Source organism: Homo sapiens, chromosome 1 (genome assembly GCF_000001405.40).
Source record: "Homo sapiens chromosome 1, GRCh38.p14 Primary Assembly".
Taxonomy (NCBI): Eukaryota; Metazoa; Chordata; class Mammalia; order Primates; family Hominidae; genus Homo; species Homo sapiens.
The window spans coordinates 150,736,758-150,750,934 of NC_000001.11; the positions used below are offsets into that span (position 1 = coordinate 150,736,758).

General features: G+C 39.0%; 1 protein-coding gene across 2 annotated transcripts in view, besides 5 other annotated features; it reads right to left on the bottom strand.

Annotated features, from left to right (window-relative positions):
• Window positions 1-14,177, bottom strand: part of CTSS (cathepsin S) — a 35,591-nt gene that overhangs the window by 6,570 nt on the left and 14,844 nt on the right. For both annotated transcript variants that reach the window (NM_001199739.2, NM_004079.5), the window contains 2 exons: window positions 13,249-13,414; window positions 11,020-11,122 (listed from right to left, as the gene is read on the bottom strand). In NM_001199739.2, coding sequence (NP_001186668.1) covers window positions 11,020-11,122; window positions 13,249-13,414 — 269 coding nt within the window. The remainder of the gene's footprint in view (window positions 1-11,019; window positions 11,123-13,248; window positions 13,415-14,177) is intronic.
• Window positions 418-562: an enhancer, noted in NCBI's record as "145 bp 1:150709723 sequence used in MPRA reporter constructs". NCBI's record gives its function as "activates a minimal TATA-containing promoter with rs6587520 allelic activity by MPRAs in UACC903 melanoma cells {active_cell/tissue: UACC903}" and the evidence as "EXISTENCE:reporter gene assay evidence [ECO:0000049][PMID:36423637]".
• Window position 490: a transcriptional cis regulatory region, noted in NCBI's record as "rs6587520 or 1:150709723 MPRA-significant variant associated with a GWAS melanoma risk locus at 1q21.3". NCBI's record gives its function as "allelic transcriptional activity by MPRAs in UACC903 melanoma cells {active_cell/tissue: UACC903}" and the evidence as "EXISTENCE:reporter gene assay evidence [ECO:0000049][PMID:36423637]".
• Window positions 11,870-12,014: an enhancer, noted in NCBI's record as "145 bp 1:150721175 sequence used in MPRA reporter constructs". NCBI's record gives its function as "activates a minimal TATA-containing promoter with rs1134067 allelic activity by MPRAs in C283T melanocytes and UACC903 melanoma cells {active_cell/tissue: C283T | UACC903}" and the evidence as "EXISTENCE:reporter gene assay evidence [ECO:0000049][PMID:36423637]".
• Window position 11,942: a transcriptional cis regulatory region, noted in NCBI's record as "rs1134067 or 1:150721175 MPRA-significant variant associated with a GWAS melanoma risk locus at 1q21.3". NCBI's record gives its function as "allelic transcriptional activity by MPRAs in C283T melanocytes and UACC903 melanoma cells {active_cell/tissue: C283T | UACC903}" and the evidence as "EXISTENCE:reporter gene assay evidence [ECO:0000049][PMID:36423637]".
• Window positions 12,350-12,999: an enhancer, noted in NCBI's record as "H3K27ac-H3K4me1 hESC enhancer chr1:150721583-150722232 (GRCh37/hg19 assembly coordinates)". NCBI's record gives its function as "activates a minimal SCP1, AML or CMV promoter by ChIP-STARR-seq in primed H9 embryonic stem cells {active_cell/tissue: H9 hESC(primed)}" and the evidence as "EXISTENCE:reporter gene assay evidence [ECO:0000049][PMID:30033119]".

Genomic DNA, 14,177 nt, shown 5'->3' on the forward strand with positions numbered 1-14,177 from the left:
AACAATGAAACTGATAAAAAAAAAAAATCTTAAGCTAAATAAAGTATCTGAGGACAAAGTCTTGCCTTCAGAATTATACAAGATCTGCTCCAAATGTTCATTTCGGTACTTACCAAGTTGTATATTTTTATTAATTCTATAGCTCTTTCACTCAAACTGTTCAACTTTAGGTGAGTTTGTTAACTAAATGCCTATCTCATAAGAGTACTTTAAAAATTAAATGAGAGAATGTATTTAAAGTACTCACACAATATTTGGTATATAGCCAATGCTTACTAAGTGAAGGTAGCTATTTTTATTATTATCCAGGTATGAGTACATCAGATTGGACTCAAGTAGAGTCCATCTACTTTTTTTTTTTTGAGACGGAGTTTCACTCTTGTTGCCCAGGCTGGAGTGCAATGGCACAACCTCGCCTCACTGCAACCTCCACCTCCCAGGTTCAAGTGATTCTCCTGCCTCAGCCTCCTGAGTAGCTGGGATTACAGGCGTGCGCCATCATGCCCGGATAATTTTGTATTTTTAGTAGAGATGGAGTGTCTCCATGTTGGCCAGGCTGGTCTCGAACTCCCAACCTCAGGTGATCCTCCCACCTCGGCCTCCCAAAGTGCTGGGATTACAGGCGTGAGCCACTGAGCCGGGCTGAGTCCGTCTACTTTTAAAAAAATGTATAGCGTTCTTCTAGGGTGATCACCAGTCCCAGTTTGCCTGGGACTGTCCTGTTTTTAAAAAGAAAGTCCTATGTCCCAGAAAGCCTCGTAGCCCTTAGCAAAGTGGGAAAGTTGATCACCCTACCTTCTCCTTGCATATTATAAGGCTACTAACTTATTATTCCTTCTAAAATCAATGCCAGTTTCCTTTGTAATAGACTGAAGTCCTGGGCTTCTTAGGCTGTGCCAGACACTCTTCTAGGCATTAGGATTACAGAGACAAAGTCTTTCTAAAGCCTAGGTTCTAGAGGAGAAACATATGATAAACGAAGAAATACTTGATGATATATATGATTAGTACAATAAAGAAAAATAAAGCAGGATAAGGGATACAGAGTGTTAAGAGACAGGGCTCAATTTTAGGTGGAATGGTCGGGAAAAGCTTCGCTGAGTGGATGTTTGCGCAAAGATGCAAGTGAGGCAAAGACCTGGATAAAGGGCTAGAAATAAGCATGATGTGTCAAGAAATAGCCAAAAGGCTAATGTGCTGGGAGCTGAGTGAGAGAGGGGAGAGTAGTTGGAGAGGTAGTTGGAGAGGCAGGCTAAGGCCAGATAATGTCATGCTTTACAGGTCATGGGTTTTATTCTGAGTGGGAAGGAAAGCCATTAGAGGGTTTGGGGTAGAAGGGTAACATAATCTACTTTATGCTTTAAAAAGATAATTCTGGTTACTGTGTAGAGGATTGATTCCAAGCAAACAAGAGGGAAGCAGCTACCAGTTATGAGATTATTGCAATAGACCAGGAGATGGATGGTGGCTTGAACTCTAATGGTAACAGCAGAGGTATTGAGAAGTGCAAGCAAATCTTGTTTTATTGTGCTTTGCTTTATTGTGCATTGCAAATTTTGCATATTTTACAAATTGAAGGTTTGTGGCAACCCTGCATGGAGCAAGTCTATCGGCACAATGTTTCCAACAGCCTGTGCTCACTTTGTGTCCCTGTGTCACATTTTGGCATTTCTCATAATATTTCAACTGTTTTCATTATTAGCAAATCTGTTATGGTGATCTGTGATCAGTGATTTTTTTTTTTTTTTTGAGATAGGATCTCACTCTGTCATCCAGGTTGTTGTGCAGTGGCACAATCGCAGCTCACTGCAGCCTCAGCCTCCAGGTCTCACGCTCCTGCCTCAGCCTCCCAAGTAGCTGGGACCACAAATATGCACCAGCATGCCAGGGTAATTAAAAAAAAAAACTATCTGTAGAGACAGAGTCTTGCTATGTTGCCCAAGCTGGGATCAGTGATCTTTAATATTACTATTGTAATTGTCTTGGGGTGCCATGAGCCACGTGCATATAAGATGGTGAACTTAACTGATAAGTGGTGTGTGTTCTGACTGCTCCACTAACTGACACTTCCCCCATCTCTCTCTCTCTCCTCTGGCCTCCCTTTTCCCTGAGACACAATGATATTGAAATTAGGCCAATTAATAACCTTACAATGGGCCAGGTGCGGTGGCTCACGCTTGTAATCCTAGCACTTTGGGAGGCCAAGGCAGGTGGATCACCTGAGGACAAGAGTTCGAGACCAGCCTGGCCAACATGGCGAAACCCCGTCTGTACTAAAAATACAAAATTAGCAGGGTGTGGTGGTGCGTGCCTGTAATCCCAGTTACTCCGGAGGCTGAGGCAGGAGAATTGCTTAGAACCTGGGAGGCAGAGGTTTCAGTGAGCCAAGATTGCACCACTGTACTCCAGCCTGGGCAACAGAGGGAGACTGTCTCAAAAAACAAAAACAAAAAACAACCTTACAGTGGCTTCTAAGTGTTCAAGTGAAAGGAAGAGTTATACATCTCTCATTTTACATCAAAGCTAGAAATGATTATGCTTTGTGAAAGCCAAGGTAGGCTGAAAGCTAGACTTCTTGAACCAGTTAGCCATGTTGTGAATGCAAAGGGAAAGCTCTTGGAGGAAATTAAAATGCTACTCCAGTGAACACATGAATGAAAGCAAAACAACAGGCCAGGTGCAGTGGCTCATGCCTGTAATTCCAGCACTTTGGGAAGCTCAGGCGGGTAGATGACTTGAGCTCAGGAGTTCAAGACCAGCCTGGGCAACAAGCTAAAAATACAGAAATTACCCGTGCCTGGTGGCACATGCCTGTAGTCTCAGCTACTTGGAGGGAGGCGGAGGTTGCAGTGAGCTGAGATTGTGCCACTGCACTCCAGCCTGGGTGACAAAGTGAGACCTGTCTCAACAACAACAACAACAACAACAACAACAACAAAAAGAAAGAAAGAAGAAAAAAGTAAAGAAAAAAAGTGAAACAGCCTTATTGCTGATATGATTTGAGTGGCCTAGATAAAAGAGCAAACTAGCCACAACATGCCCTTAAGCGAAAACCTAATCCAGAGCAAGGCCCTAACTCTCTTCCATTGTAAGAAGGCTGATGAAACTAAAATTAAAGAAGTTAAATAACCTGCCGAAGTTCTTCTATGCCTCCAGTGCAACCTATGCCACCTCGATTTTAGCATTTATCACATTGAGTTGCAATGGACTACACATGCACCTGCCTGTTTCCTTCACTCCATTAGACTATGAGTACCTTGAGGGACGGTAGAAGAGCTGCATTTTTCATTTCCAATCGCTAGTTCCTAGCTTGGCACATGGTAGGTACTCAATACATGTTTGTTGAATCAGTGTCCAAATGAAGATGCAAAAATGAACAAGAGACTATCCTACCTTGAAGAAGTTTACATTTTAGTGAATGGGGCATGGTTTGCACAAATAGCTATAACACAAGGGATATGTGTAAAATACTATAATAGAATTCATAAAGCATTGCCAAAGCTTAGGAATTAGAGAAACAATTCTAAGTGAATGGGGTATGAAGGAGATAGTATTTGAGGCAGGATTTAAAAAATGAATAGGATTTGTAATGACTTTTTTTTCATTTTAAAATTAATACCTTTCTTTTTTTTCCTTCCTTTTTTGAGACAGAGTCTCGCTCTGTCACCCCGGCTGGAGTGTGGAGCGCAGTGGTGTGATCTTGGCTCACTGCAAGCTCCGCCTCCCAGGTTCATGCCATCCTCCTGCCTCAGCCTCCCGAGTAGCTGGGACTACAGGCATGCGCCACCACGCCTGGCTAATTTTTTTTGTATTTTTAGTAGAGACAGGGTTTCACCGTGTTAGCCAGGATGGTCTTGATCTCCTGACCTAGTGATCCACCTGCCTTGGCCTCCCAAAGTGCTGGGATTACAGGCATGAGCCACTGTGCCCGGCCTCCTTCCTTTTTTTTTCGAGATAGGGTCTCATTCTGTCACTGAAGCTAGAGTTGAGTGATGTGATCATGGCTCACTCACAGCGGCCTCAACTTCCTGGGCTCAAGTGATATTCCCACCTCAGTCTCCCAAGTAGCTGGGACCACAAGTGTGTGTCACCATGCCTGGCTTATTTTTGTATAGAGATGGGGTCTCACTATGTTCCCCATGCTGGTCTTGAACCCCTGGGCTCAAGCGATCCTCCCAGTTCAGCCTCCCAAAGTGCTGGGATTACAAGCATGAGCCACTAAGCCTGGTTGGACATACTATGTTTAACTTAAATTTTTTTTTGACATAGGGTCCTGCTCTGTCACCTAGGCCAGAGGGCAGTGGTGTGATCATGGCTCACTGTAGCCTCAAACTCCTCAGCTCAAAAAATCCTCCTACCTCAGCCTCTTGAGTAGTTGATATTACAGGCACATGCCACCATGCCCAGCTAATTTTTTAAATTTGTTTATAGAGACTGGGTCTCCCTATGTTTCTGGTCTTAAACTCCTGGCCTCAAGTGATCCTCCTGCCTTGGCCTCCCAAAGCTCTAGAGTTATAAGCATGAGCTTACCACATTCAGCTAATATTTATACTACATATAAATTTTGTATTTATGTGTATCTTTTTTCATTTAAATATATATCCCAAGTATTTTATTAGGTTATTAATAATAGTCTGAATAAATCTAATGCATGGAGTTGATTATGTCATAGTTTATTTAATCATATACCTATTGTTAGGCATTTTTGGCTACTTACTAGTTTTTACTATTAAATAATAATGCTACAATTCACATAAGTTGTGTATGAAAGTTTTCCCATATTTAGGATTATTTTCTTCATATAGATTCCAAGAAATAAAAGTAATGGGACACTGGCTGTGCGCAGTGGCTTGCGCCTGTAATCCTGGCACTTTGGGAGGCCAAGACAGGCAGATCACCCAAGATCAGGAGTTGGTAGACCAGCCTGGCCAACATGGTGAAACCCCATCTCTACTAAAAATACAAAAATTAGCCAGGTGTTTTGGTGGGCACCTGTAATCTCAGCTACTTGGGAGACTGAGGCAGGAGAATCACTTGAACCTGGGAGACGGAGGTTGCAGTGAGCCGAGATTGTGCCACTGCACTCCAGCTTGGGAGACAGAGCGAGACTCTGTCTCAAAAAAAAAAGGGGGGGGGAAGAATATGAACATTTAAAAAGTTCTTTATCATATTGTCAAATTGCTTCCAAGAAAGAGAATAGGCAGGGTAGGGTGGCTCATGCCTGTAATCCCAGCACTTGGGGAGACCGAGGTGGGCAGATCACGAGGTCAAGAGATCGAGATCATCCTGGCCAACATGGTGAAACTCCATCCAACATGGTGAAACTCCATCTCTACTAAAAATACAAAAATTGGCTGGGCATGGTGGCACATGCCTGTAGTCCCATCTACTCGGGAGGCTGAGGCAGAAGAATTGCTTGAACCTTAAAGGCAGAGGTTGCGGTGAGCTGAGATCATGCCACTGCACTCTAGCCTGGTGACAGAGTGAGACTCCATCTCAAAAAAAAAAAGAATAAATACAGCTTACTTTCCCATCAAACTGTATAAGAATGCCCATTTCACCAAGACAGGTGGGATTTCTATAGACAGCATTGGACTTCACAGGCATTTCAGAAAGATACAGCATATATAAAGAAACAGAGGTAGGGATGTATCTGTAAACTTAGGGAATGATGAATAAGTAGTTCACTGTGGCCAGAGTATGACTGTGGGTATATGAAAATATAGTGGAAGAAATGTCTAAGGTTATGTTAAAAGCTAGATAATGGAGTACCTGGAATGCCTGGCCAGGAGTTTGGACTTCATTTTTAGACAATGGTGAACTATTCAGAATTTTTGAGCAGGAGTTGACATGATCTATATTTTAAAAAGATACCGCTATAGCTGGGTAGAATGGAATCTGAATTACAGCAGGGCCATTGGGAATGGCAAAGAGAAAATACATATAAAATATGATTCACAGGCCAAATGGATAGGGCTGGGTGGGTTGAGGGGGGAAAAGGAAAAGGCCAAGATGATGCTTAGGCTTTAATAATCTGAAGATGGTAATATATTACCCAAAATAAGGAATAGTTTTCCCTTGAGCTTGTTTGAAAATCCTTTTCAGGGATGAGGGAAGAAAGGAAGAGAAGAACATTGTAAACTTATTGAGTATGAGAGTGTGTATATGTTGGTAGTAGGGTGATGTAGGTGGGGAGTTTGGATTTTTCAAGGAGAGCTGCCAAATTGGAAGTTGGACAAGGAAGTGTGTCACTTAGGAGGTCATTTTCAGAGATTATGAACTGGGGATCATCTACATAATGGCAATAGTTGAAACTGAAGGAGCAGGTGAGTTTGCTTTGATATAGATGAGTTTGCTTTGATATAGCAAACTCATGTAACAGGCAGGTGGATAAAATAACGTAAGATATGAGGCTAAAGTTGATGTAGCAAAATGAATCAAGATAGTGAGAAATGTGCCATTGCATATGTTTTTTGGGTCATTGAGAGCAACTTTCCAACCTCTAACACACTTTCCTCCTCCAATACATGAACAATTCCATACATCTGGAAACTTGATTCAAATAGTGTCTTCTCTGTGGAGGTTTAGGCTGTTAGGCATTTCCTCTTCAACAGTCCCATAGCCATTTAGACATGTATCATTATACCACGATGTGTTTGTTGTATCGTTTAAAAATACATCTAGGCTGGGTGCGGTGGTGGCTCACGCCTGTAATCCCAACACTTTGGGAGGCTGGGAGATATATATATATATATATATATATTTATAAATATATTTATATTTATATATAGAGAGATTTATATGTATGTATACATAATATATTATATATGTATATTATGTATACATAATATATTATATATGTATATTATGTATACATAATATATTATATATGTATATTATGTATACATAATATATTATATATTATATGTATATTATGTATACATAATATATTATATATTATATGTATATTATGTATACATAATATATTATATATTATATGTATATTATGTATACATAATATATTATATATTATATGTATATTATGTATACATAATATATTATATATTATATGTATATTATGTATACATAATATATTATATATTATATGTATATTATGTATACATAATATATTATATATTATATGTATATTATGTATACATAATATATTATATATTATATGTATATTATGTATACATAATATATTATATATTATATGTATATTATGTATACATAATATATTATATATTATATGTATATTATGTATACATAATATATTATATATTATATGTATATTATGTATACATAATATTTATATATTATATGTATATTATGTATACATAATATATTATATATTATATGTATATTATGTATACATAATATGTACACATAATATTTATATATTATATGTATATTATGTATACATAATATTTATATATTATATGTATATTATGTATACATAATATTTATATATTATATGTATATTATGTATACATAATATTTATATATTATATGTATATTATGTATACATAATATTTATATATTATATGTATATTATGTATACATAATATATTATATATTATATGTATATTATGTATACATAATATATTATATATTATATGTATATTATGTATACATAATATATTATATATTATATGTATATTATGTATACATAATATTTATATATTATATGTATATTATGTATACATAATATATTATATATTATATGTATATTATGTATACATAATATATTATATATTATATGTATATTATGTATACATAATATATTATATATTATATATGTATATTATGTATACATAATATATTATATATTATATATGTATATTATGTATTATATTATATATTATGTATATTATAGATTATGTATGCATACATAATATGTATTGTATATTATGTATGCATACATAATATGTATTGTATATTATGTATGTATATATAATATATATTATATATATTTTTTCATGTTAGATTGTGAGTGCCTTTAGGACAGGATGGTTTCTTACTATTTTTTGTATCTCCAGGGCCTAGATAATGCCAGTCACATTGTAGATGCCTAGTAAGTGCTTGTTGAATGAATGAGTGAAGAGAAGCAGATTTGAATTTCAACACTAAAAGATATAGATGATCTTCAAGAGCAACTTCAGTAGAGAAGGGAATTTAGAACACCTGCCGTAGGGAGTTCCTTAGAGAGTCAATAAGATATGAGGGAAATAGTTTCATTTTAAAAAGCTATCACTGGTCTACACCCAAGCTGATCAGTGCTGTGAATAGGTTATCAGTGAACCAAGATATTGATCCCCTCAGCTACTTTCCCCATGGGCCATACGAATATCATCATCTTCTATGTGTGCCACAGTGGGAAAAGGGTAGGAAAGCACCTTTTGTTTGATTTGTAGACTATGTACTTCAAGTAAAGATTTAAGGGGTGTTATGGGTTGCATTGTGTCCCCACAAAATTCATGTTGGAATCCTAACCTCCAGTACCTCAGAATGTGAACTTATTTAGAGATAGGGTTGATGTAGACATAATTAATTAAATTAAGATGAGGTCATTAGGGTGGGTCCTAATCCAACATGAATGATGCTCATGAAAAGGGAAAATTGGCCAGGCGCAGTGGCTCACACCTGTAATCCCAGTGCTCTGGGAGACCAAAGCAGGAGGATCACTTGATCCCAGGAGTTTGAGACCAGCCTGGGAAACATAGAGAGATCCTGTCTCTACAAATAGAAATTAAAATTGGTCTGGTGTGGTGGTGCATGCCAGTAGTGCCAGCTACTTTGGTGGCTGATGTGGGAGGATTGCTTGAGCCCAGGAGTTTGAGGTTGCGGTGAACATTGATCACCCCACTGCACTCCAGCCTGGGTGACAGAGTGAGACCCTGTCTCAAAAAGGGGAAGAAAGTAAAATTATGAATAGAGACAGAAATGCATACAGGGAGAATGTCATGTGAAAATGAAGGCAGAGGTCAGGGTGATTGTCCTAAAGGCTGAGGAAAGTCAAAGATCACCAGCAAACTTTCAGAAGCTAGGGGAGAGGCATCAAACTTTTTTTTTTAATTAAAAGAACATATTTAATTGACAGATTGTATAAACTCAAGGTATACAGTGTGATGACTTGATGTATGTGCACATTGTGCAATGATTGACATAATCAAATGAAATAACACATCCATCTCCACCCGTGCTGTACCTTTGATTCCCAGAATCTGTTCATCTTATACCTGAAAGTTTACACTCTTTGATCAGCATCTCCTCATTACCCAGCCTCCAGTCCCTGGCAGCTATCATTCTACTGTCTGTTTCTGTAAGTTTGACTTTTTTAGATCCCACATATAAGTAAGATCATACAGTTTTTTTTTCCTGTGTCCACGAATATTTTCTTCCTCACAGCGTGAGAAGGAAGTAACACCTTGATCTTAGACTTCCAGCCTCCAGAACTGGGAGACATAAATTTCTGTCATTTAAGCTGCTCAGTTCGTGGCACTTTGTCATGGTAGCCATAGCAAACTAACACAAAGAGAAACTCCAGGTATGCCCCAAAGTCTCAACTCTTCATATTTCCTCCATTTTTTCCCTCTAGAAGTTATGTTCCTTTTGTTTATGAGTGATATAGATGTCAGTTCAATACATATATTGAGGGGCCTTTAGGTGCCACCCACTTAGTCTGTGCTGCGGATATGAAGACCAGACATAATCTCTCCCCAAAGGCACGTACAGAACACTGGAGTGACAGACAGGTAAATATACAATTTAAATATAATGCCTAAAATCCTGTGATCCAGTATGCATAGGACATTTTGGCAGCATAGAAAAAAGACATGTTCCTCAGCCCAAGGATTCAGGAAAGACTTTTCTGGAATAGATTGTGCCTGAGCTACTTCTGAAGAAAAGGAGAAGTAAACCAAAAGAGAAGACAGGATGTTCTAGGCAGAGGGAACACAAACCAAGATATGAAGGAAGGTATTACAGATAAAGTGGAATGTATGGGAACTACAACTGTGGATAGTGCAGTATAACCAGAGTGAAAATAGGAGGCAACAAATGCCAGGAGGTGAGGCTGGCAAGGCAGGGAGCACAGCCTATAGGATTTGTCTTCTGTCAGGGAACATTAATTTTACACCGAATGAAACTCAGTAGAAGAGTTATAAGCCCAGACTCGTTCATATTTTAGACAAATAAGTTTGGCAGCAGTATGAAAGATGGATTTGAGGGTAAAGGGGAAGAAAATAGAGAGTAAAGGAGACCAGTTAGAAGGGTACAGCAATAGTCCACACTAGAGATGCCTGAACTAGAGCCGTAATAGAAGAAACAGAGAAGGAACAGAATCAAGGACATAGATAAGGTAAAATTGGTTTGACTAATTGGTTGCTTGGTTGGACTTGGGGAGGTCTCAGATGAATCCATCATATCTTATTGGGTGATTGTGTTGTGTGGCCCTTTACTGATATGGGAAATTCTGAAGGAGGAACAGTATGGGGGAGAGAGTACTGAATTATTTGGATGTATTGAGTTTGGAAAGACTAAGATATATGTAAGTGAGTGTGTCCAGATAAGTCTGAAGTTCTGGGAAGATGTCAGAACTAGAGCTAGAGATTCAAAAGCTATTGGCATATAAAGGTTATAGCTAGAGTCCTAAGAGTGGAATTATAGCACCCAAGAAAAAATAAAATAAGAAGAGGAATGGGCAGATGATAGAGCCCTGGGGAAAACTAACATTTTTGGGCTAAATAGAGGAGAGGAATAGGTTCATGAGAGAGGCTGAGAAGGAATAATCACAGAAGTAGTACAGAAGATAAACCAGGAAAACAAAGTGATGAAGGCAGAATGGTAAGTGAAAAGATGGGGGCACTGAGTAATTTAGAATGTCACTTTGTAAGAAGCTATAAAGTTCATCATTGTCAATATCGTGATCATAATGATCATCATCAAAATCATGAGAGTATTTGCTGAAACTCCCTCAAATTCCTGATTCCAATTAAATATAAAGTGTAAATATATTACCTGTTTTTCACAAGCCAGTATTCTTTCCCATTAAGATCACCATAGCCAACCACAAGTACACCATGATTCACATTCTGAGTACAGGATGGTTCATAGTAGACACCTGAGAATCAAATATGGGTGGGAAAAAAGAGTGAATACTATAGGATAATAAAGGGCATTTTAAAACGGTATTACTTTTTATTAGCCTGCTTTGGATACATAGCAAGGTTAATTTAAAAAGTTAAGGACATGTCCAGGCATGGTGGCTCATGCCTGTAATCCCAGAAGTTTGGGAGGCCAAGGCGGGCGGGTCACAAGGTCAAGAGATCGAGACCATCCTGGCCAACATGGTGACACCCCATCTCTACTAAAAATACAAAAATTAGCTGGGCATGGTGGCACGCACCTGTAGTCCCAGCTACTCAGGAGGCTGAGGCAGGAGAATTGCTTGAACCCAGGAGGCAGAGGTTGCAGTGAGCTGAGATCGTGCCACCTCACTCCAGCCTGGCAACAGAGCAAGACTCCATCTTAAAAAAAAAAAAAAAAGTCAAGGACATATACTGTCATGCATAAACTAGGGCTCATAATTATTTGCCACCAATGCTGTATTTGTCAGTGTTCTTGCCAAGCTTAGCATCACTCCAGTCATAGTTCCCCCAGAAACCTTCTTTGATAAGCACACCACCTTTTTCTAAGTTTTTTTCTTTTTTGTTTTTTTCTAAGTATTTTTAAACTTGCATACAATCAGTTATTTTAATTCTCTGTGTATACAGGCATATCTCATTTTATTGTGCTTTGCTTTATTGTGCTTTGCAGATATTAGCTTTTTTTTTTTTTTAAGGAACAGTGTTTTGCTCTGTTGTCTAGGCTGTAATACAGGTGGTATGATCATAGCTAATTGTAACCTCAATCTCCTAGGCTCCAGTCATCCTCCTGATTTGGCCTCCCAAAGCGCTGGAATTATAGGCATGAGCCACTGCACCCAGCTAGATATTGCATTTTTTACAAATTGAAGGTTTGTGGCAACTCTACATTCAGCAAGTCTATTGGTACCATTTTCCCAAAAGCATGTGCTCACATTGTGTCCTTGTACCACATTTTGGTAATTCTCACAATATTTCAAACTTTCTCATCATTATTATATCTGTTATGGTCATCTGTGATCAATGATCTTTGATGTTACTTCATAATTTTGAGGGTGAGCTACAAACCACACCTATATAAGATAGCAGACTTAACCCACAAATGTTGTGTGTGTTCTGACTGATCCACGGACTGGCCACACCCCCATCTCTCTCCTCAGGCCTCCCTGTTCCCTGAGACACAATGATATTGAAATTATGCCACATGATAACCCTATGATAGCTTCTAAGTGTTCAAGTAAAAAGAAAAGTTGCATATCTCTCACTTTAAGTCAAAAGCTAGATGTGATTAAGCTTAGCGGGAAAGGCATGTTGAAAGCCAAGACAGGCCAGAACCTAGCCTAGGCCACTTGTACCGAACAGTCAGGCATGCTGTGAATGTAAAGGAAAAGTGCTTGAAGGAAATTAAAAATGCTGCTCTGCTGAACACACAAATGACAAGAAAGTGAAACAGCCTTATTGCTGATACAGAGAAAATGTGAGTGGTCTAGATACAAGAGTAAGCCAGCCCAGCATGCCTTTACGCCAAAACCTAATCCAGAACAAGACCCTAACTCTCTTCTATTGTAAGAAGGCTGAGAGAGGCGAGGAAGCTACAGAAGAAAAGTTTGAAGCCAGCAGATGTTGGTTCATGAGGTTTAAAATTGCCTCGCCTCACCCCGCCCCGCCTCACCCCGCCCCGCCCCGCCCCGCCCCACCTTGCCCTGCCCTGCCCTGCCCTGCCCCTCTTTCTTCCTTCTTTCTCTTTCTTTCTTCCTTGTTTTTTAGAGACAGGTTTTCACTCTGTTGCCCAGGTTGGAGTGCAGTGGTATGATCATAGCTCACTGTAACCTCAAATTCCTGGGTTCAAGGAGTCCTCCTGCCTCACCCTCCCAAGTAGCTGAGACTACAAGTGAGTGTCACCATATCCGGCTAATTTTTATTTTTATTTTTCGTAGAGATAAGGGTCTCGCGATGTTGCTCAGGCTGGTGTCAAACTCCCAGGCTCAAGCAATCCTCCCACCTCAGCCTCCAAAGCTAGAATTACAGGCATGAACCACCGTGCTCAGCCAATATCCTTTCTTTCTTTCTTTAAATTCTAATTATTGTTTATTTTATTTTTTACCACTTCTGTAGAGGAAGAAAGAAGGATGACGCGCATCTACACCAACAGACACTGGGCCTTTATTGGCCACAGCTTCTTTCAGGACATCTTCTCTGCCATAAGGAAGTTCAGTGTACTTTGAACATGTGGCAGCACGATATTTTGAGTCATATTGACATTTCTGATCCTGCAAAAAGAAGTATAAATATGATGAAGTATACTTCAACTCCTGTATAAATCACCTGTATCCTAAGCCTGGATTTTAAATGTCTCCCTTCCTTTCTTTAACTTTTTCATGTGTCTAAGGCTCCTTCCTTTGCAAATCTTCCAAATCCTAACAGTCCCGGGTTTCAGCAATAATGGAGGAAATACAGAACTATTCTATTCTTTCAAATTGTGAACATCCTCATACATGCAAAACTTGCCAGGACAATGGCCCCTCAGACTTTCAGGTGGACTGTAGGGAAATATTACATAGAGATAATAAACTCTAGATGAGAGCTTTAAAATCTTTTTGATGCCTGCAAGATGATCTGCAGCTAAAATGATGGTATATAAAGACCATATAATATGGGAAACACAAGTATTTCAAGTGGGAAAAGGAAAGTTACAAATTCATGTTTGTTGTATATACAACTATTTTGTATTTATTTATATTATTTATTTTTTTGAGATAGGCTCTCACTCCATTGTCCAGGCTGGAGTGCAGTAGCATAATCATGGCTCACTGCAGCCTCCAACTCCTGGGCCAAGTGATTCTCCCACCTCAGCTTCCTGAGTAGCTGGAACTGCTACTCAGGTGTGCACCACCATGCCTGGCTAATTTTTTTGATTTTTAGTAGAGGTGAGGTCTCACTATGTTGCACAGGCTGGTCTCAAACTCTTGAGCTCAAGCAATCCTCCCACCTCGACCTCCCAAAGTGCTGACATTACAGGTGTGAGCCACCACA